Genomic DNA, 24440 nt, shown 5'->3' with positions numbered 1-24440 from the left:
CATTATATCAACTGTAAGATACCTTTTTATAAGAAATATTTCATAATACCACATTTATTATTCAGAAATAATATTATATAATCCACCTAAACACACAATATTTGAAAATCAATATTTTGTCGTAAAGAGACGTGAAATAGATATGTTTTACAATGAAGTAAATACATTTCAATAAGTAAACATTTGGGCACAATGAGATCATCAGATACTGGCACTTGTACACAGAATCACCATGAAAACTGCATCTACAAATGCTGACTACTCAAATACCAAAAGTGGTGTTGGCTCTCTAAAAAGGTAAGCAACTCTTAGAAAGTTTTAAATAAAATAAAGTACAATTCTACCTTAATTTATATGTTGATTACATTCTGGGAAAATTCAATATACATTAATAAAAACCATGCAAAAAATTCTTTGTGTTCATATGTAAGGTAAAGTTCCAGATCATATAAGTTTTTCAAGTTTATCAGTTATCCAGTAGGACATTCAAAAGGTGGAACAATTTTTCACTGTGAGGGAACTGTTCGAGGCACTGTAACAACATTGAACCCATATCCCTGCCAAGAAAATGGCAGTAACACTTTTGCCTCAATATCTGGGATACCAGGGATACTTTGCAAATTTCCAAAACACCTTTGGACAAAGGTTCTCTGCCAGCCTTGGCTGCATGTTAAAATGAGCTGAACTTTAATTCAAATACCAGTTGGTGCTTGGGCACAATCTGCAGAGACTCTGATGTAATTGGTCAGGCAGGGCTGCTGCCTTGCCATGAGCGTTTTTTAAGCTCTTCTGTTGAGTTTATTTAGTAGCCAAGGTTGAGAACCATGCCTTAGGGATGGTTCTGTCCCTTTGAGTACAACTGCCCCTAGCTGAATCAGATCACCAGATCATTGACCTGGTAGATTTTTGTCTTTTCTGTATCACAGAGTTATTTTCTGTCCAGATAGAGTCCAAGCCCCTCTTAATCTAAGGAAAAAAATCTCTAATGTTTACAAGGTAGGGAAGGGGGTATGTGACTCTAGGATCTGAGAAGTCAAGAACCAGTTTCAAGAAATCCCACAAGTCAAGTAAAGGATTAATAGCTTACTTGCAAATGTAGAACAAACAGGAAAAGAGTTAAACTAAATAAAAAACAAATAAACTGATTATTTGAGGAATAAACTTGTACTATAGTATGGCTAAACCCCTTCTAAAACCCCTAGTCATCTCTCCTTAGGCTAGACTTGGGCCTTTATCCTTGTAGGAAAGATAAACTTACAATCATCCTTCCTGGTCTGGAGGGGATATCCATTGAAGCCTTGAATCAGAATGGCAGGTACATTTTATCTCCACCAACAACTTTATATGGATCAGATGCGGCTGGAGAGGGATTTGGACTGACTAATTGAAGAATTCTAGGGTGGGTTGGTTAGTGATACATGTCATGGGCACAGAATGGGAAAAGGAGGGGAAGCGCCCTCATTTTTCCTTTAGACCCTAAGATTACTATGGGGAAGGATGCACATTTCTCAAGAAGAACAAGTAAGCTGCCTAGTTCTGGTCAACTTTTGGAACCTGATTGGATTTTATCATCACCATTATCATCATCCAATGACAGTTTCCGTTTACTCAGGCCCAGTTATGTGCCTTGCACTTTACACTTTATTTATTACCTCATTGATTCTTATAACAACTCTATAAAGTAGACATTTTAATCAGAGTCTGGGATCCCACAGGTGGTAGAAAAACTAATTTTCAAATCTGGTCCTACCTGACTCTAAAGTCCTATGGTAAAATAATATAGAGCGAAATGTGGTCTCAGACCGTCTTCCAAAGTGCTAATATTCTTTATCCTGCATCCGCATTGCCAGGATTCTTGCTCAAATGGTATGAGAGTTAACAAATACCAACTGTCAGGCTTACTGTACACATTCTTTTTTTTTTCTGAGACAGAGTCTCTCTCTCTCTCTCAACCAGGCTGGAGTGCAGTGGTGCGATCTCGGCTCAGTGCAACCTCTGCCTCCCAGGTTCATGTGATTCTTTTGCCTCAGCCTCCTGAGTAGCTGGGATTACAGGCGCCTGCCATCATGCCCGGCTAAGTTTTGTATTTTTAGTAGAGATGGGTTTTTGCCATGTTGGTCAGGCTGGTCTCCAACTCCTGACCTTGAGTGATCCATCTGCCTCAGCCTCCCAAAGTGCTGGGATTATAGGCATGAGCCACTGCCCCCGGCCTGTTATTGTACACATTCTTATTTCTCAGCATTTTCCATCATTTCCTAGTATTTGATCCTGTCCATGAGTTTAAATGAAAAATTACTTTTAAATAATAGGGGTATTTTTCTTATTGTTAATCTTTCTAAAATGTATTTTCCTGCTCCAGTGCAGTATAATAGAGGGAATGCAATTCATTGCCATAATACAACAGCTAGGGGGTACTGGCACATCATAAATACTTGAATGAATGAATTAATGTAATTAACATTTTTAGGAGAGAATATTTTTAATTTTTATGAAGTCCAATTGATCCATTTTTTCTTTTATGGTCTTTCCTTTTTGTGCTGAATCTGAGAAATCTTGGCCTAATCCAATGTCACGAAGATTTTATTCTATGCTTTCTTCTAGAAGGTTTATTGTGTTAGCTCACATTTAGCTCTCTGATTCATTTAATAGGCATTACTTTTTATTGTTAAGATTTTTGTAGACATCAGGGTTTGCTCTATAAGCACACCTTAATCTGCTTTGCAGACACACATGAAGCAGTTTAAGAGTATACATGTGATTTTCCTCTCTTGAAACATGGTCTAAAAGTTGTTTTTTCCAGACGAAAATCTCTCACAGCATTCTCATCTTTATCATTTGACTCTTTCTCCTCCCCTCCAAAATCTCAAGAAACAGAAGACTCTAGTCTAACTAGTGGTGTTATCTGATATTTTTCTGTTTCAGAAAAACCCTGTCTAAAAAAAAAAAAGAGGTATTGCTCAATACTTTCTACCCTCCATCCACTTAATCACCTAACAGCCCTGAGCACCACTCTCTAAAGTAATCTCCACATTGTCAACAAAATAATCTTCAACCCAGGGCTCAAGAAACAGACCACTGATAGGAACTTGAGGCCTGTGCCGGGGAGCTGCATTTACAAAGGCCAAAGGCCTTCCATTCTGGTTAACCTCTAACTACTCCTATTTCATGCTGTGAACACCCCCTGAACAAGACCTCACTATTTAGGGACTTTTTTTGAGGAGTTGAGGGTCGAGTATGTGATTAAAAGAATCTTGTCCTATGAATTTGTACAGCCCCTCAGAAGACTTGATTTCATAGCTGGAATGGCAACCAAGGTTTCTGTCCACTTACAATTCCAGTTACATTTTGTTTGTTTGTTTTTGAGACAAGGTCTCACTGTGTCACCCAGGCTGGAATGCAGTGGTGCCATCATGGCTCACTGCAGACTCTACCTTCTGGGCTCAAGTAATTCTCCCACTTCAGCCTCTCTAGTAGCTGGGACTACAGGTGTGCACTATGACACCCAACTAATTTTTGCATTTTTTGTAGAAACAGGGTTTCGCTGTGTTGCCCAGGCTGCTCTTGAACTCCTGGGCTCAAGCAATCTGCCCATGTTGGCCTCCCAAAGTGCTGGGATTACAAGTGTGAGCCACCATGTCTGGCCACCTATTTGCAAATTTATGCAATTTTACCCTTTTGACATTCTGGGAAGAACTGAGCAAAAGAAAATGGACTTTGTTAGATCTTCATTAGGTATATGAAAGAATGTTTTGCCTCTCATAGGTGGGCTTGTGTCCTTTACTGTTTCTTTCACACACCCTTGCTCACAATCACTCTCCTGGAAGAAGGACCTCCCCTTGCCTCTTCAAATCTTACCAATCCATTGGCCAGGACCCAACCCAGGTCTCTTCCTATGAATCCAACTACTCAGGTATTCTCAATGATCTCCCATTTCCCTATCCTAAAAAAGGGCACTAATATACTCAAAGGTCCAGTAGCTAGGAGGGATGCTTTAGTACATAGAAAAAGAAGACACAACTCATAGCCATCAGGGAGCCTAGCGAAGGGACCAGACACCAAAAGCTTATTTTAATAAAGTGTTGGGATAAGAGATGTACATCAAAGTCAATGGGAACACAAAGACTTAGCACTTAATACAGAGCAGGTTAGGCCAGAGGGTAGCATAAAGTCAGGGAGTGTTTTATAATGGAGGCAATAGCTTTTGTTGCATTTTGAGATTAACTTGATATAGAGTAGCAGTGGGGTGGTTCCAGATAAAACTATCAAAAGCACAGACAGAGCGTGGGAAATCCAGAGAATACAGGTGGTTCAGTAAGCCATGGCCAGCCCACTGTCAGCTGGCTAATAATTAGGTGCTTCTTTTGACCAGTTTTAGTAAATTTTGTTTAGAGGAGAAGCTAGATGTTACAACAGTGGATAAAGAGGGCTCTCTGATGACAATATGCAATTGTGCTTCTCTATTTTCCCAAGTAAGTCAACTCCTTGGTCCCTGACTCAATCAAACAAAATTCTGATATCTGGTGAATCTACTCTTCTTAGAAAGCCATTTGGATTTTTTTTTTTTTTTTTTTTACTGTTACTTAAGCATGTCACTGGGGGATATCACTTCCCACCCTTAGCAGTTTATTAGAGGATCTCACAAGAAGCCCTGTCTGACAATTCTCTTCTCTATGACTTGCTAGATTTCATATGTTAGAAAGCCTTAGCAATTGGCTTACCTGAAGGGCCTACCCTTAAGCCAGTTTCAGGAGTGGTGGAAATATGGAACGCAAAACAGAAATGGCAAGAAATGTGGTTGAGTAGGATGTGGGTGGGAAACCAGATTATAAACACCTTTGAATGCCAGATTAAGGAGTTTGGGCTTGCTCCTGGGGACAGGGGAGTCCAAAAGAAGATTAAGCCATTGACACATAAACTGAACCATAGAGATGAAGAATTGCTTATCTCAAATTGTTTTAAGGTACAAACCAGTCTCTTCTACTGAACGATGCATACATTTTCTGAGGGCAAAATTCCTGCCTAATATTTTCTTGGTGTCCTCTTTTTTTTCTTTTCTTTTTAAAAATAGAGATAGGGTCTTGCTGTGTTGCTCAGGCTGGTCTCAAACTCCTGAACTCAAGCAACTTTCCCATCTTGGCCTCCCGAAGTGACCGGGATTGCAGGCATGAGTCACCATGCCCAGCCACTTGGTGTCCTCTTTGATTCCAGGCACATGTTTGAACAAATAGGAAGTTGTCAAAAATATGTTGATTGGTAGGTTTGAATGGCTACCAAGAGAGGCTGTATAGACCTTCAGAAAGAGATCTTGTGTCTCATATAGAATTAGATCGTTAAGCAGCAGAGAGTAGAGTCTGCATTTTTACCTAGGATCTGAGGCTCCTCTTCAATTCCTCCAGCCTATTCTAAATGGCTGTGTCTCTCAATTTGTCTCCCACTAGGAGGCAGCATCATTCCCTCTGCCCTCAGGACAAGGAGCTTTTTAAATAAACATACATAACACATATGTAATTATATGCACATTCCCCCAATATAAACAAGCACGTTAAGTTTTGACCTTGATTGACTAGAAAAAATGTTTCTTGGAGTCTTGGTCAATTAGCCTCAACCTAAAGACAGAGGGTTCTGGAACATACGACTCTGACCTCCAACTATCCCTGGAGGAGCTGCCTCCTATACCAATAAAAACTACTTTCTGAGAAGCATCTTCATGCATGATATTAATAGATTGATTTTGCAAGCAGGAATTGGCAAACATGATAGAACCCTATGGTAGGGAAAGAGCATTTGGACGATGTTGGATTGCCTTCCTGTTGAATTTTATGCAACCTTGGGTCCCTAGGGAGTTTCCCCAGAAAGCTGGTTCAGAGTGTGCCGGCTCTTGTGTCCCAGCCTGCTGTTTATTTCATGGTGGCTGCAGTAGAGCAGCATTTATGCTTATGTTAGCAGCTTAAAGCTTCTCGGAAAATTTGGAAAGTAATGTTACAGCAAATAGCCAAAGTATGCTCTAAGCATGTTTTTCTCAAGGCCTGGGTTTTCCATATTACCTCTGCCAGGAGTGACAGGAAAATCCAAGAAAAGCTCTTTAATTTGATCATCATCGTTGATATACTTGTTGTACATTGAGAATCTCAAGTTGTCCTGGGAAAGATTTGTCAATCAATTCAGCAGAACTTCTCAAAACTTGTTACATCAGAGGAGTTCAGGTTATTTCTGTGTCACAAGAGAGTACAGCCAAGGCCAAGAACATGGTCAGCCCCACTCAGACGTACAATTCTGTCAAAACAAAACCTTGGGCTGGCTTCCCACTTAAGCCTTTTAAAGAATAATTTGCTTTGATAGGCGATTGGTGCCAAGCCCAAAATTAGAAACTCCTATATGTGTGGGAGGCAGGGACCATGAAATGTTTTAGGAGGAAATTCAGCTTTTCCTCTTTTGGCCTTTGCTGAAGTCCCTCCAAGGTTTTCAAAGGGAAAGCCAACACCATTCCTTCAACGAACATGTGCTGAGCCTGAAATCTTGACAGGGCTGAGGACTGTCACAGTCTTGGAGTACAGCTTTGTCCATCACACCTGCTGCAAAGGGGCTTGCACTCCAGCTAAGAAGCATATGCAAGGTCAATTCTTTCAGCTTTCCATGTAACACATTCATAGGAATAGATAATAAAAATAAAGGAAATATTACTTTTGAGAAGGAAATAAACATGAAAACAAAACAAAGACACCAACCCTGATTTCTAAGAGCTTCCATTACAGCGGAAGAGTCACACATGTATAAGATAAATTACCATAACAGATAATTGCCACCCTTATAATATAGGTATTTTGTAAATTACTATGAGTCTGCAGAAGAAAGAGTTATTGAGAGGAGCTTAATTCTTTTCCTACAAAGATTTTGTAATACAAATGATGGAGAAAGCCTAGTGGAATCACCTACCAGGAAGATAGTGGCTTAGCTTCAGGCAGATCTTATTCATTTACTCTACAAATATTTATTGAACATCTATCATGTGTTGTTAGGATATTGGAATCCATCAATGAATCAAAGAGAAGAGGATCCCTGTTGTGATATTCTAGGAAAAAAATAAACTAAAAAACAAAATTGGCAATGACCAATTAAAGCATTCCTTCTTTGATAACAGGTAGAAATTAATTGGTTTTTGGTTGATGGGGATACTAAAAGCTGTAGAACATCATACCTTTTGATCCTGAAGTCTCACTAAATGACCATGTCAAGCAGTATGTTAGAATAATGACCCACCCCAATATCTACATACTGAAGACCACCATGCCACTTCAAGCTACCAATGAGATGTCTCTGAACATACAGTTGGGAAGAGATGCATATAATAAAACAACCACAGAAACACAAAACCCTGAATCTTAGAACCAAAGCAATATTCAGTAGGTAAGGTGTCAATATTGATAAGAAATGCAGTGTTGCTGGCTGGCTTTCAAAAGAGAGGAAGAAGGTCATAACCCAATGAGTGTGGGCAATCTTTAGAAGCTGAAAAATACAACGAAACAGATTCTAACCTAAAGCCTCCAAAAGAAATGCCATCCTGGCAACACCTTGATTTGAGCCAGTGAGATCCATGTTGGACTTCCAAACTATAGAACTGTAAGAGAATACATTTAGGTTGTTTCAAGCCACTACATTTGTTACAGCAGCAATAGGAAACTAATACACAAGTGCTCCTCCACATTTCCTAGCCTCCCAATCATGTAGGTGGGGCCATGAGACTTCATAGAATGTGGGTAGACATGATGTGTACCCCATCCAGGCCTGGCTTCTGAACCTTCTTTTGCAACCTCCTCATAATCTCTCTCTCTGCTGGTTGGAGAACCAAATGCAGGAACTCAGTGGAGGATTTCAAGGAGGCTTTAGTGAATGGCAGAACCACTGGACACAAGCAGCTTGGGATCCTGAGTTGGCATTTGGAGATCTTTCCATGTCAGCATGTAGAGAAAGACCCAGTTCATTTTTTAGCAACTGGAAGATGATCCATTTTATGGAAGCACCATGAAGTATTCAACAAATTCCCAGTGATAGATTATTTGTATCCATTTGTTACTATAAACAAGAGTGTGGTTATATCTATCTATCTAGCTAGCTATCATCTATATATATATCTGTTATCCATATAATGATTTCTTTGCATACTTACAAGCACATTCTTACAAGCGGGATTTCTGGCTAAAGGGTACTTGTATTTCTAAGGCTTTGTACCAGCTGTCCCTCCAGCCTGGACTGTTCTTTTTTAAGATCTTCACAAAGCTAGATTCTTCTTATCATTCAGGTTTCAACTTAAGTAGTACTTGATACCATATCACCTGCTTTGTTTTTACCATAGAACTCATCACTACCCTGTCTTTTATCTTTTGATTTACCAGTTCATTTTTCCCTCTCTCCACTAGAATGTAAGCTCCTCTTGAGAGCTCAATAAATGTAATTGTTGGAAACATGAGTAAATGATGAATGAATGAATGAATGAATGAATGAATAAATGAGTGAGTGTTACATGTAGAAATTAAAAACAAGGCAGCAAAATGTTAACCGTGGTTATAGATGTTTTATTCTTTATGCTTATCTAAATTTTTTAAATTTCTTGACATAAAAATATATGCTTTTGTAATCAGAAAAAGATCTGAAAAAACCTATATTTTTAAAGCATGGCTGAACCCACACAACAGTTGGGAGAACATAGTGAAAAATATCAAGAACCAAACTTAAATATAGTTTTGGAGAAAAGGAATAATGCAGAATATTGTTTACAGGGTATGTCTGGTTTTTATTTATGTTTTTGGATGGAGATGGTCTCATTTTGGCTATTTAGTGTTTTCTATATTTAGTGTTTGGTTATTTAGTGTTTAAGAATTTATTATAGATCAAGTGTATGTACTAATTAATAGCTACGTAGTGTTTTTGCTATTTGAATTGCAAATATGCTTAATTTAAAGAAATCTGTTAAAAAAGATAGGAAAGTTATTAGGCTAAACCAACAAAGCTGAAGTAAAAATGTTTATAAAATCTATTTTTTTTTTTTTACATTTTTTGCCTTAATTTCCACCTTAGAAGGACCTTCTGTTGGAAACTGGTTGCTCTTTACTTTGCCTTAGACTCATTTCTTTCTCTTTTTTTCTTAATTTTAGAGACAGGGTCATTCTCTGTCCCCCAGGCTGGAGTGTAGTGGTGCCATCATAGCTCATTGCATCATCAATGTCCTGGGCTCAAGCAATCCTTCCACCTCAGCCTCTCTAGTAGGTGGGACTACAGGAGCGCATTACCATGCCCAGCTAATTTTTTCAATTTTGTAGAGATAGGCTCTTGCTTTGTTGCCCAGGTTTGTCTTGAACTCCTAGCCTCAAGCGATTCTCCCATCTGGGCTTCCCAAAGTGTTGGTATACAAGCATGAGCCATTTCATGGGACCTGAGACTCATTTCTTGTGTCTGATGAGGCCAGCTCCTCCTCCAAGGTGACGTGCTACAACCAAGGCACTGTAGCCCAAGAGTATCTATTGCTTCACATTGGAACTGGACAGCTGGCTTGTGGTTTCATAGATTTCATAAACATGTTTCAGGCACCGAGGTATCTGTTGCAACTCCAGATGCTAAAGCCAGCAAGGAAGCCAGCTCTATAATGATCAGTTGGAAAGCCAGAATTTGAACTCTGGACCTGATAAACTCCCAGTGTCAGCTTTAGGAGATGAAATACAAATTCCTTGGGAAATCTAAGTAGCACATTTTTTTTCCCAATATATGTGCCATGGCAGTACAAATTTAACTGAGATAAACTGATGGTCTGGATAGGTTAAAGAAGATAATCACATGAGGTCAATAGCTGGGCTGAAGTAACTCTTGAATTTACCTGCTGTTGCTAAGCCTTGACTGCTGTTATGAGTCCTGATGCATGTAAGTCTCTGGGATATTTCCAACTATTTAAGAAATCTATGGGATGATGCTATAGGCTGAACATTTGTGTCCTCTAAAAATTCATATGTTGAAGCTCTAACCCCCAATGTGACTGTATTTGGAGATAGAGCCTTTACAAAAGCAATTATGGCTAAAGGAAGTGATACGGTTTGACTCTGTGTCCCCACCTCAAATCTCACCTTGAATCGTGTAATCCCCACGTGTCAAGAGTGGGACAAGGTGGAGATAACTGAATCATAGGGGCAGTTTCCCCCATGCTGTTCTCATGATAGTGAGTGAGTTCTCACAGGATCTGATGGTTTTGTTAGCTTCACTCAGCTCTCATTCTCTCGCGTGCCACCATGTGAAGAAGGTGCCTGCCTCCCCCTCAGCTTCTGCCATGATTGTAAGTTTCCTGAGGCCTTTCTAGCCATATGGAACTGTGAGTCAATTAAACCTCTTTCCTTTATACATTACCCAGTCTTGGGTATTTATTCATAGCAGCGTGAGAATGAACTAATACATCCATAAGGGTAGGGCCCTGATCTGACACAGTTAGTGTCCTTAGAAGAAGAGGAAGAGAGACAGGAAGGTGCTCTCACTTTCTCTCTGTATGTCTCTGTCTGTCTGTCTGTCTCTTTCTCTCTCTGCTCACCCACACCGAGGAAAAGCCACATGAACACACATGGAGAAGGTGGTCATCCACAGACCAGGAAGAGGACCCTCACCAGAACCTGACCTGGCACCCTGATCTCAGACTTATAGCCTCTAGAACTGTATAAAAATAAATTTGTTTTTTAAGCCACCCAGTATGTGATATATTCTGTTATGGCAGTCCAAGGACATTAAGACAGATAGGGACAGAAAGATGTCTTTTGGGAGTGAAGTCCCACAGTAAAGGTTAAAAAGAAAAGTACCCATTCTAGTAAAGAAAATGTGCAGGCATCTTAGCCAGGGTCACCCTTTTTAAGCACAGGTCAGATTATATCACTCCTTAGTTTAGAAGCCTTCCAAGATTCCCTGGACCTTATAGGACAAAGTTGAAACTTTTTGCATGGCTAACTTAGCCCTCCCAGCTCTACCAGAGCCTACAATTGGGGGCTCTGCTTCAGCCACCATCATCCTGCCCTGGTTGTGGCATGTCACCTTGGAGTAGAAGCTGGCCACAAAGGACTCAAGAAATGACCCTGGGTCAGAGTAAGAATCAACCAATCAGCGTTTCCAACAGAAAGTCCCTCTAAGGTGGCTTCAGCTTCTCTGCCTCAGAAGTTGGCCACAGCCAATGATAGCAATCTACTCATGGGGCTGTCCCTTCTGTCTTCTCATTGGTTTCACATTGATCCTCTCACTTTGCTCACCATATTCCCCCTGACTGAAGCATTTCTTCTGCCGATCCTTTCAAGGCCACCTGACTTCCTCCGTGAAGCCTACACTGATGCCCATTTCCTCCATTGCTATTCCATTGTTTTTAAGATGCACATTTGTTCACATCCTATCTTCTGTAGCAAACATTGTTGGTGTTCTGCCCAGATCCTCTTGGATTCTTTGTAGATTTCTGTGCACCTTTCCTCATATAAATGTGGGCTTCTGCTTCCAACTGCCTGCCCTTGCTATTCTCTTCAAAAGACTGCTCTAGGGCTGCCCAGAGCAGAGAGCTGAAAATATAATGTCCCCGGGCATCCTTGGCCCAGGACTAGTGCAGAAGTATGAAAGTCCAGTTCCTTGCCCCAAATCAGGACAGACTCTGAGATGCAACTTCCACCCCAGAGTTCCCCCTGGGGAATCAGGCTGCAGCTGCTGTCTTGGGACTTTGCTTGGCTTCCTCCCCTTCCCTGGCCTGCTTTCCTTATTCCCTTATTGGGTTCTGCTGGGAGCCCTTCCTAATTAATCAGTTGCACATGAATGTTGGTCTCAGGGTCTATCTCTGGGAAACTTGACCTAAGACACCATTTCTAAAATTGGAGTTCATCTTCTTATCAATAGCATTTTAAATTTGGTAAATAAGATAATAGCATTCTTAACTGAGTTCTCTTTTTACTATATACCAGCTCCAAACATAGCATTTTTCACATGAAGATAGTTTACTGTGAATGCATGGCTCTCTCACTTGGCTCTGAGATCTTAAGGCTGTGCTTTGCATTCCTTTATCCTTTCATCCTGACTTCCAAGAATTTCTCTGTAAATGTGTGTTTAATGAACACATTAAACACAGTAGAAAGAAGGAACATGATTTTTCTCCCCCATACTGAAACAGAGGCTGTATCATACAGTTTCTTTCTATCTTAAGATATAATTATTTTAGGCCGGGTGCAGTGGCTCACACCTGTAATCCCAGCACTTTGGGAGGCCGAGGTAGGCAGATCATGAGGTCAGAAGTTCGAGACCAGCCTGGCCAACATGGTGAAACCCTGTCTGTACTAAAGACACAAAAAATTACCCAGGGGTGGTGGTGCATGCCTGTAATCCCAGCTACTTGGGAGGCTGAGGCAGGAGAATCACTTGAACCAGGAGGCGGAGGTTGCAGTGAGCCAAGATCATGCCATTGCACTCCAGCCTGGGCAACAGGATGAGACTCTGTCTCAAAAAAAAAAAAAAAAAAAAAGATTGCCTTTATGAACTGACCTAGCCATGTGAAGGGAGCAAAAGAGCAACAGCTATTCCAAAGTGAAACTCTGTTGTGTGTGCATGCATTTTAGAGTTGAATAGGAAAAGTACTCCATCAATAATATAAATAAATAATGTTTCAATCTGTGAGACTGTTATCACATCACTGAAAAGAACTTGTAGGATTTTCATCCAATTTGAAGAATAAGTTTGGAGACAGGCAGCCTTTTCTCAGAGCGAGTGAAACTAAGGGGCAGCAAGAGTGTCCCCCAGCCAGGAAGATGTGCCTTGGACAGTGGTTTAACATATGAGCCTGCATAGACAGAGAAGGGACAGATGATCTGGATTGCAGGTATTTGTGTTCAAGCTGCTCTTCACTTCAGCAGTTTTTATATGGTGTCCTCTCTATAGTGTAAGAACATCAGAGATCTATTCACTTAACAGTGGTTAGTTTCCTGAGAAATGTTGGGGAGATCCATCTGCTTATGGATAAAAACTAAAATAACTATCATTTATTGAGCACTTACTATGTGCCAAGCACTGTGCTCAGCACTTCATATGCATGACTTCATTTACACTTCATAGCCCCACTATGAGGCAGGTACTACTACTGTCCTCATTATACAAATAAGAAAACTGAAGCTTAGAGGGTGTGAGTTTCCCGAAGTTAGCAGGCAAAGGGACAGTATTTAAAATCTAGGGCTGCTCAACTCCATAGTTCCTCCCTAACCTGAAAGAACCTATCTATGCAGTTGAGTAGTTTTTTATCATTTTTTAAAATGAGTGAAAGAGAGGATGGGAGGAAGGGAGAAAATCAAATTATTTGAAGGTACCTTACATTTTTGTCTTGTTACAGACCATGTACAAATCCAAGCCTGCCATAGAAGTTGTTACCCTACATAGAGTCCATGCCTGTTTGTCCAGAGTTTGGGAAAAGTCAGAGCACAACCTAGAATAAATGCGATAATGTATCACATGTATTCTTTTCCCTCTTATTTACATTTCTTCTGACAGAGACCTGTGCTGCTTGTAGGACAAAGATGAGCTCCAATGCTTAAGTCTCATTATGTGTAACTTAGTAAAAATGTGAAGTTAGAAGCAAAAAACCACATTATAAGTGCATAATGACTGCAACTCTTTAAAGACATGAATATTTGGTGGGAGGAGGAAGAGAAGGAAATAAGTGAAAATGAAAATGGTCCTATTATCACTCATAATGGCATTATGAGTGATTTTTGCCACAATTTTTCAAACTTTCTGTGATCCTGCATGATTAGTCCATTCACTGAGTTGGTTGTGTAGTGATTGCCTCCTGTGTGTAAAGCTCTCTATTCGGCAGTAGGGACGCATCAGAGAACAATGCAATCCCTGCCTACTGGAAGCTCATCAACTAGTAGAGCTCATCATCTAGCAATTCAACAATAAGATCCAGTAAAGTGTGACGAGTGCTGTTGAAAAGGAAGTTCAGTGTGTGATAGGAGCACATACCATGGATAATTAGCCTATTGAAAGAAGGGGGAGAAGTCTTCCTGCATGAAGTGCAAGAAAAATGATACCTGAAGGCCAGCTAGGGTGTGGGGAAGTTGAGGATCATACTAAATTAAAGCAGCAGCACATTGGGATGAAAGCCTAGAGGCAAGAACTTGATGAGTTGCAAAGACTGAAGTAAGCACAGAGCACATTGTTAGGAAGTGACAGAGGCAAGACTAGAGAGGCATACAGAGCTGAAGCTGTTAGAGGCCAGGGGAGTGCAGGTGCTGAGCAGAGCTCTATCCCAAGTCAATGGGGAGCTGCAGAAGAGCTCTAAGGGCAGAGTGATCTGATCATTCTTGGATGAATGACCTGACTATTTTTAGATGGTAAAAGGGTATCAACCTTTGAGAAGAACAGAGAAGGTTTGATGTAGCTATCTTAGGAAAAAGGAGAGAGACCCAGTTGGTGAACCAATGGTGGATTGGCCCATGTTTTCCAAACTCAACTGGTTGCTGAAGGTCATCATCTAGCAATTCAACAATAAGGTCCATTAAAGTGTGACAAGTACTATTGAAACGGACACTGAAGGTCAAATTGAGGTTGGAAAACGTGTTTAATTAAAGATTCATCTGAACCATCTGCTAGACAAGCTTGTCCAATCTGTGGCCCATGGGCCACATGTCACCCAAGATGGCTTTGAATGCAGCCCGACACAAATTCATAAACTTTCTTAAAACATTATGAGATGTTTTTGCAAATTTTTTTTAGCTTATCAGCTATCATTAGTGTTGGTATATTTTGTGTGTGGCCCAAGACAATTCTTCTTCTTCCAATGTGGTCTAGGGAAGCCAAAAGATTGAATACCCCTGTGCTAGAATCCCAGTAAAGAACCAATTACACCAACCACTGCCTCCAAGAAGCTGGAGTTTGGAAATGTCTGAGTGAAAAGGGGTCAGTGTAGGGTCACTCTGATCAGAGCAATTGCTGGTTCTGAGGTGATTTCAGATCTCTGTCCCACCTGAATCCACATCACCATCTCTATTTTTGTTTGTTTGTTTGTTTGTTTCTTTAAGTGAGAGAGATAGCAGGCTGAGCACAGTGGCTCATGCCTGTAATCCCAGCACTTTGGGAAGCCAAGGTGGGAAAATCACTTGAGCCCAGGAGTTTGAGACCAGCCTGGGAAACATAGTGAGCCCTCCTCTCTACAAAAAATATTAGCCAGGCATGGTGGTGCATGCCTGTAGTCCCAACTACTCAAGCAGCTGAAGCAGAAGGATCACTTGAGCCCAAAAGGTCCAGGCTGCAGTGAGCCATGATTGCACCACTGCACTCCAGCTTGGGAGACAGAGCCAGACTCCATCTCAAAAGAGAGAGGGGCAGAGGGAGGGAGAGGGAGAGGAAGAGGGAGAGACTGCCAACGAGACTTAAAATCTGAGCCTGTGAAAGACTTGAGAGAGGTATCTCCTGGTTCCGGGCAGTAAGACATTGTGACCAGTTTTTACCACAGGAGGACATTGCTGCTTTCAGTCTTGCCTTTCCAAAAGCCAATGACAAGAAAATAGTTTTAGGGAACTGGCGATAAAGCATAGGTCCCTGCTCTCTAATTTACTTAGATGAAGCCACAGAGGCCTATAGTAGGATGAGGATGAGAGAATGTGAAAGGAGAAAATATAGAGAAATAAATATGTCACTCTCTTCTCCAAAGTCACAATGGCAGACAAAATTGTAACAGACAAGAATTTATTAGCCTGGAAAATGTGACAGAGTATCTGAAATTGGCATTGTGCAGTGTCTTAGTCAGTTTGCACAGCTCTAACAAATGTACCATAGACTAGGTGGCTTATAAACAGCAGAAACTTATTTCCCACAGTTGTGAAGGCTGAAAAGTCTGAGATCAGGGTGCTGGAGTGGTCATGGTCAGGTTCTGGCAAGGGTTCTCTTCCAGGTTGCACACTTTCCATCTTTTCACTGTATCCTCTCCTGTTGGAAGGAGAGTAAGAGAGTCTCTGGGGTGTCTTTTATAAGGTACTAATCCCATTCATGAGGGCTCTACTCTCATGACCTAGTCACTTCCCAAAGACCCCTCCTCCTAATACCATAATATTGGGGATTAGGATTTCAACATATGAATTTTGGGGGACATGAACATTCAGTCCATTGCATCAAGATATGAGTCATCTATGTTATTCTCCATAGTACCCACATCATCTAGCACAGTGCTTAGTACAGAGAAGATGCTCAAAATAATTGTATAATGAGTGATTGAATGGTGTTCCTAGGTGGAGGACAGATCTGCTCATCTCAGGGCACCTGCCTCCTTCTGCCTTATGCCATACACTCATGGAAGGCTGCTTTTTTTCCCTCTAAATATCCATGGGGATTTTCATGTTGAAAAAAAAAAATCAGACTCTTGGCTGAAGGAGAATTTCTTAGCCTGGTGACATTAAAACCAATAAGAGATGAATGTTGAGCCAAGGCAGAAGAGAATGGGTTCAGTGTAAAGACTGTGGGTCCAGTCAGGCTGGCAGGAAACCTGAGAACTTCAAGGTTCCAGGTCCGTCTGAAATGCCTGTTGCTATGGACTGAATTGTGTCCCACCACCAAATTCAGATGTAGGAGCTCTAACTCCAGTGCTCATTGTGATGGTATGGGAGATAATTAAGTTTAGATGAGGTCACGAGGGTAGGTCTTCATGATGGGTTGGGATTAGTGCACTGGTAAGAAAAGGAAGAGATACCAGAGCTCATGCACTCTCTCCTCCCCACCCCAACCTCTCTCTTTCCATCATGGGAGGACACAGCAAGAAGGCAGCCATATGCAAGCAAGAAAGAGAGACCTCGTCAGAACCTGATCATGCTGGGACCCCAGTCTTGTACTTTCAGCTTCCGGAACTAAGGGGAAAACATTTCTATGAAGCCATCCAGTGTGTGATATTTTGTTATGACAGCCAGAGCTGACTAATATACCCATAAATCAGCTGTAAAGGAGTTTGCCCACTGGTTTTGGTGGTGAGCTGCTAATATCATTCCGGTGGTGTGATGCCTGCTACCAGAAAGCTGCCATTAGAAATTCTCCCTGCATGAAAGTACAGCCCTTTCCAGCTGAATGAGCCTTGACAAACAAATTAGATGATTCATCCTATGCCTGAAGGCTGTTTGGCTTTGCTGGAATCCTTAGCATACCACTACTGAAGAATTTTTTAAAACATTATTTTGTTTTAAATAGAATCTATGTCAAGCATTAATTGTTATCTATGCATTGATGCTGGAAAAATTTATCATCTTGTCTGTCTGTAATGAATTTTTTAAAATTAACTTCTTTTTTATTTAAACTAATGGTCAGCACTAAAATGGTAAGCCCTCCTCTGATCTTCTGAAATAGGAAAAAGAAAGTAAATGAATAACAGCCACATACTAAGTTATTGAATTACAAGTGAACCAATTAATACTTAGATTTTGTAAGCATTATTGTACCCTAAGAATCATAGATAATGCATGGAATCTCCAGTAGATTACATGCCCTGCTGCTTTTGAGGATAATACATGGGAAGAAGTTTGCACATTTAAGGTTTAAATGTGCCTGCCAAAAAACCATGTGCTGGTAACTTAATCTCCATTGCAACTGTGTTGAGAGGTGAGGTCTAGTGAGAGGTGATTAGGCCATGAGGGCTCCACCCTCATGAATTGATTAATACAAACCTACAGGATTGAGTTCATTCTAAAAGGGTGAGTTTGGTCCCTGGTCCCCAGCCCCCTGTGCCTTCCACTATGAGATGACTTAGCAAGAAGACCCTTGCCAAATGCCAGCCTTTCCATCTGGGACTTCCCAGCTTCCAGAACCATAAGCCAATACATTTCTAATCTTTATACATTACTCAGTCTCAGGTATTCTTTTATGAAAGCACAACACAGACTAAGGCAGGATGGTTTGCATATGTCAACTTGATTAACCTGGAAGTATATTTCCCAGAGTTCCCCCCACCGATATGGTTCTTGATTGGAGTTGTCAAAAAAGAAATGTGCATGAGATTTGAAAGATTAAAGTGAAGCAGCATGATTACCTCTGAAAGTCATTGTGATTAGACATGACGACAGATGCAGAGGTGCTGGCAGGTTCCAGTTTGTCCTTGCTGTCATCTCCTCTACATTCTACCTATCTTCCTACCTGACCCCACTGATCAACAGTGGTCTGAGAGTCCAGGCCTATCGCCATATATTGGCAGTGGAGGCAGTTTCTCATGGGCTTCCCATGAGCTTGCCTTTGCAGTTTCACTTCTGCAGTAGGACATGCATAACTGTTACTTACTCTTGCTCTGATCTTTCAACTCTCCAGTGGCACCTTCACTTTCTCTGCTTCTTCCATAATTATGTAAGGTCTAAATTTTATAATAAATCCCTTGCTTCATAACTGACAGTGGTTCTTCTTTCCTGTTGGAATCCCAAGATGCCCCATGGGAGGGAATTATTGTTAATTACTGGAGGATTCCTGTTTGGAGAAGCATTACAGTTTGGACTCAGAGATACTGGGTACCCACCTCAGTTCTACCACTACCAGCTGGTTGACCTCGTACAAGATATCTAACCTCTCAAGCCTCATTTTCTTTTCTTTTCTTTTCTTTTCTTTTCTTTTTTTTTTTTTTTTTTTTTTGAGACAGGATTTGGAGTGCAGTGATGTGATCTCAGCTCACTGCAACCTCCACCTCCTGGGCTCAAATGATCCTCCCACATCAGCCCTCCTGAGTAGCTGGGACTACAGGTGCATGCCACCACCCCCAGCTAGGTTTTGTATTTTTTGTAGAGATGGGGGTTTCATCATGTTGGCCAGGATGGTCTTGAACTCCTGGGCTCAAGCAATCCACCCACGTTGGCCTCTCAAAGTGCTCAGATTACAGGCGTGAGCCACCATGCCTGGCCCCCATTTTCTTTTCTTGTAACCAATAACATATAACATATATATATATATATATATATATATATATATATATATATATATATATACACACACCCACACACACACACACATATATAAGCACATGTAACATATATTAACATATAACAAATAGCCAATAACATGAGCTACCTTATATGAGAGGGTCTTTGTGAGGTTTAGATGATATGTTGCATGTAAATCACTTAGTCTAGCAAATAGTAAATGCTCAGTAAATGTTAATTTTTTTTCACTGACAATTCTTGCTCCAGAATTGTTAGTTATTATTGAAGGAGCTTAATGCCTGAAGGGGAATCAGGTACTAGAGCCTAAAATATACAAAGAAAAGCAGACTGTTGAGCATAGGTGTTTTAAGGTTTGGGGAGAGCTGACGTTGGCAAGACAAGCAGGAATCAGCAACGGGTGGAGCACAACAGGGAGGCAAGACAGGAGGAATGGCGCAGCTCAGGAGAGAAGCTGTAAACATCAAGTACCCAAGCACCAGGGGAACAGAGACTTAAAACTGCAGGTTCAGAATGGGCATCACTCACTCTCTGCCGTGGAGCCCTCCTGCTAAGTCAAGCCAGGTCTCCCTGGGATCACTGGCTGCTATGTAGGATTTGGGGGATTTCTGGATCACTCTGCTAGTTCACAGCTGTTACTCTGCTTCAAGTATTGAAGAAGTTTTTTGTGGCACTAAAAGAAACGCAGAATGGCCAGCACCCATTTGGTCCCCTCTCAGAGTGTCACAGCAGCCATCATGGGGGAAGGAGGAGTTATGTCATACAGAAGCTCATACCTCAACCCTAGTAAAAGAGCAGAGATGCAGGGTGAATGTGCATGTGTGTCTGGGGTGGGTATAATGAGTGATAACAGCTAGGTAGATACCGTGTTCATAACCTCTACCTCTTCAAAGAGATCCAAGAAACTATGTTTGAGTTGGAATCATGCCTATGTTGGAGAAGAAAAAAGCCCACACTTCCTTCTTCCTGAACTAACTGCATTAGGATCGTGTGCAACTAAGGCATCACCCATAGGCAATGAAAAGGCTTTAAACAAATGGAAAAAAATCTGGATATCACATGGAATGAGAAAACATGATTAGAGAGAAGTGTAGATGTGTGACTTTACAGAAGGTTCTGGACGTACTAATAGCTATCTTTGGCTGTCTGAAAGCCTTCATGGGAAGACAGGTTGGACATCAATGAATGGAAATAAAGAGAAGGTAGGTTTGCCTCAGTGTATCTCTGTCATTGAGGATTTCCAAGGAGAAGCCAGATGAAGAAGAAGAGGAAGGGAGTGATGAGGAGGAGAAAAGAAAAGGAAGAAAAAGAGGAGGAAGAAGAAAGAGGAAGAGGAGGAGGTCAGCATTTATTGAGCACTTCCTATGTACCAGGCATTGTTTTAAATAAGCTAAATATATTATCTTATTAAAATCTTACAGTATCACAACCCAGCATCAAGGGAAGCCCAGGCCAGCCCAGTTATGTCCACTGTGGGTTGCGTCCTACCTTTCACTTGCTGTAGGGAGGGTTGGTGTGTTCTTGCAACCCCTTTATTCTACTCACCTATGCAGGTTTTTAAAATTTCAGCTCCAAAAATGGGCAGAATTTTCCTTGATTATATTGGCAGTACCCATTTGTTTTCTCGTGCAAACTGTGATATAATCCTGACCAATGGCTCAGAACTCAGCTCATCTCTACTAGGTGCACAGGCACCACTAGCAGGGCGTTTCTTTGTCACAAAGTAGTTAACCTACAGTATGGTGAAGTTCAAGATCGGATCATGCTCACTGGCTGCCACATGGTTCAAGGTGTGAGCTACAAAAACCGCAACAGCCAACTGGGATGGATCTGTGAGTTTGCCACTGAAGACAGCCAGCATTATAAGGAAGGCTGTGTGATTCTGAAATGTGCTCTAGTTAGAGAGAATGAGGGCTTTGAGGAGCATGTACCATTCAATAACTCTTGGAAGAAAATGAGCTCAATCCATCTTTTTCCAGGTTTCCTTCACTGAAAACAAAAATCTGCTTACACACACTGCCAACTTAGTATCAGAGTCAGGTTCATAAACTGTGGAACAAGAGGTTGTGAGAATCTAAGATGGAACCTTTCTTTCTTTTTTTAAAAAAAGTTTTGTATTTTCCATGTAATAGCAGAGTGTGGAAAGAGTATTATGCAGATGTCATCAATTTTTCCCTATGTTTACATCTTAAGGCAGAAGAGTCTGTCTGCAACCATGTGATGGGCTGTGTAAAGAAAAAATCTGGGCTATTAGAGTGGAAAAGTGTGTTTTATATAAAATTTGAAAGGAAATATGTCAAGAGCATGGGTTTTTAACTTGAGCTTCATTTTAAACTTATTTTTTAAAAACCCAATTATTTTACCTGATTTGCTACCTTCAGAGAAGAGATCCAAATCTGGGCCGAGCACTAAGGACTCAGTTTTGGCATTACCTGTGCCGGCCAATGTGCCATATTCTTGTTGGAGATGAACCATAGCATTTTCCTTGCCAGTCTTGACCCAAAGGTGTCACCATTCCAGTTATTTATCACCATGTAATTGGTGTTGATTGGAAACTTTTTGTGAAATGGGGAAGAACTGCTTTGTTGTCTTTTTCTTTGTAACAAGCATAGTAATATAAATAAAATAATAGTTGGGAAAAAAATCTTACAATATCCCTATAAAGTATTGAGGCACAGAGAAGTTAAATAAACTGCCCATATTTACAGGATTTGGGATGATGGAGCTGAGACTTAAACCCAGGAAAGTCTGTTTCCAGATCCTATGCTCTAAACCACTACACTCTTTGATTTATAATGCGAGGAGATTCCTGTATCCAGCAGGAGTTCAGGTGTTATTATTTCTGAGCTTCCCTCCAACTTAGATCACTCAAGCTCTTTCCAGGGCTAAGATGGTTGGTATCTAGTGCCATTCAACAGTTATGGAACACTGACCATTCACCAGGCTCTGGGCTGGGCACTAGGGGCATTCAGATAAGTAAGACAAGACAGTCCTGTAATAGACAAAGGTGCAGGGAACTTCCATGGTCCACAAAGACAGAATCACAGTCTTTCCTCTGAGAGTTGGCAAGCTTGTAAAGAAGGCAGTATTTGCTTTTGAAACACCCTGCTCTCACCTTAGCTCATTTTGTCACCACACTCTCCTTTCCAGTGTCAACCAGCAAACCCACAAACATCTCACTGTTGAGGGAGGGTTCCTGACCGTATGTGGCACTAAGAAGGCTGAGCAGCAGAGTGAGCATGGATATAACCAGGCAAACTTGTTTTCAAGGCTCAGCTCAGCCACTGCTGGGTGGAATAAATCATGTGTTTAAGGCAAAGCAGCCAGAGATATTAGCCCCCCTCCGATACCTGCCAGTTATGACTCATTCTCCCCACTTCACCTAAAGCTATCAGATCTGGACAGGAAAATAAAGAAGTATTGTGTAATCTGTGCAATCATTCCGAATTCTATAAACATGGGCATTATATTTAACTTCTCTGTGGCTCAGTACTTTATGGGACTATTGTAAGATTGTTTTTTCCCAACTATTACTTTATTTATATTACTATGTTTGTTACATGGAAAAGGACAACCAAGCAGTTCTGTCACATTTGAGAAAAATATATAGGTACACACACACACATATCTATATATGTGTATATATATATGTATGTATGTATGTACAATTGTCCTATAACTGAAGATATTTATTGAGCCCTTGCTATATACCAGGCAGCATTCATGAGCTTTACCCATCTTAGTTCATTAAATCCTTATCATAACCATGTTGGATCAGTGTCATGGCAGCTACATTTTACAGATGAGAAAATGAGACACAGAAAAATAAAGCAAATTGTTCAAAATCACGGGGCTAGTAAATAGGGAGTCAGTTTAGCACATAAACAATACTGTTTCTGTCACTAAAATAGAAAATTGAGGCACTGAGAATCAATAAATTAGCCTGAAAGCCATGGTAGGGCAGTGAGAGGGTCAGAATGCCACCGGTTAAGTGTGTTCACCATGTAGGGGCCTGTTTCTACCACTCCTGTATCTCCCAAGAGGACACAGAAAAGATCCTTGGCGATCCTTCCTCCAACAAACATGGCTGTTGGTGGCTTTGTGTAGTGATATACATTCCTCAATGTCTATGTATGCTCATGTATATATAGGTTGGTGCAAAAGCATCTGCAGTTTTGCCATTGAAATTAATGGTAAAACTACAATTACTTTTGCACCAACCTAATACTTGCTTTTCAGGGTCCCAGTTGCATAAAGGCTAATCCCTCTGCTCATCCATTTTTAGAATGTCAGATGCTAATCACTTCCAAAGAAGTGATTCTCTGCATTTTGCTCCAAGCATTGATCCATCAGTTGCCTTTGCTCTTCACAGAAGTGAATCAGGACACTGGAGATACAAACGGTGCCAAAAACCTCTGCCCCTAAGGAAAGAAAAAAGGAGCATTGGATTGTTCCCTTCACAATCTGACAGGCGCTTGAGAAGAAAGAGCCCATATTTAATATGGTTAATGCATTTTGACTTTAGAGAAATAATAATTTTCATAGAAAAAAAGGGTAATATATTTCAAGCGTAAGAAGTCATACCATCAAGATGAGAAAGTTCAAAGTATATCCATGAGACAGGAACTTAAATTCTGGACTGATTGTGCTTGTATAATCTATAGCAGGTAGTTAAACTCCATGAATCTCAGCTTTCTCATCTATGAAATGAACCGAGTTTTATAGATGAGGAAAGTTTGTCTGGCAGAGCATCACAATGCAGTAAATGCTAGTTTATGTTTCAGTAGTCAGAAAGAGTAACGCGCAAAAAAGCATATTTTCATATTTTTCTCTCTTTTTTTTTCTGACATGGAATCTTGCTCTGTCACTCAGGCTGGAGTGCAGTGGTGCAATCTCAGCTCACCGCAACCTCCACCTCCTGGGCTCAAGCGATTCTCCTGCCTCAGCCTCCCAAGTAGCTTGGATTACAGACGCACACTACCGCGCCCAGCTAATTTTTCTATTTTTGGTAGAGACGGGGTTTCACCATGTTGGCCAGACTGGTCTCAAACTCCTGACCTCAGGCGATCTGCCTGCCTCGGCCTCCCAAAGTGCTGAAGTGATTGCTTTAGTGTCTATCACCCAGAGACGGAGTTAATGGAGTTATAAGACTGCCTGAAAAGATTCTCTGAAACAAAGCCTCTGGCTTCATACAAAGCATCTCAACTCACGTTAAAAAGTTCAAGGAAGTAAATTTTAAAGTTGAAATTGTAGAACTTTTAGAAAAGAACCTACATCCAAATTCCTGCCATTTGAGGATAGTCAAAAATTTATTAGACTCAAAAAGCATAAAGCATAAAAAGTTAAAAATTGATACATTGGATTTCATCAAAATTAAAAATTTCTTCCCTTTGAAAGACATCATTAAGAAAATAAAAAAGTAAGCCAAATACTGGGAGAAAATAGTACCAATTCATATATTAACAAAGGATTTGTATCCAAGACATATGCAGAACTCTTGCAACT

At 40.8% G+C, this 24440-nt stretch overlaps 1 pseudogene; it reads left to right on the top strand.

The window, feature by feature from the left end:
* On the top strand, positions 20476–21571 carry YPEL5P1 (YPEL5 pseudogene 1; annotated as a pseudogene).

This window comes from Homo sapiens, chromosome 1 (assembly GCF_000001405.40).
Source record: "Homo sapiens chromosome 1, GRCh38.p14 Primary Assembly".
NCBI lineage: Eukaryota > Metazoa > Chordata > Mammalia > Primates > Hominidae > Homo > Homo sapiens.
The sequence above is the reverse complement of the archived record's forward strand: the minus strand, read 5'-3'. Positions and strand labels throughout refer to the sequence as shown.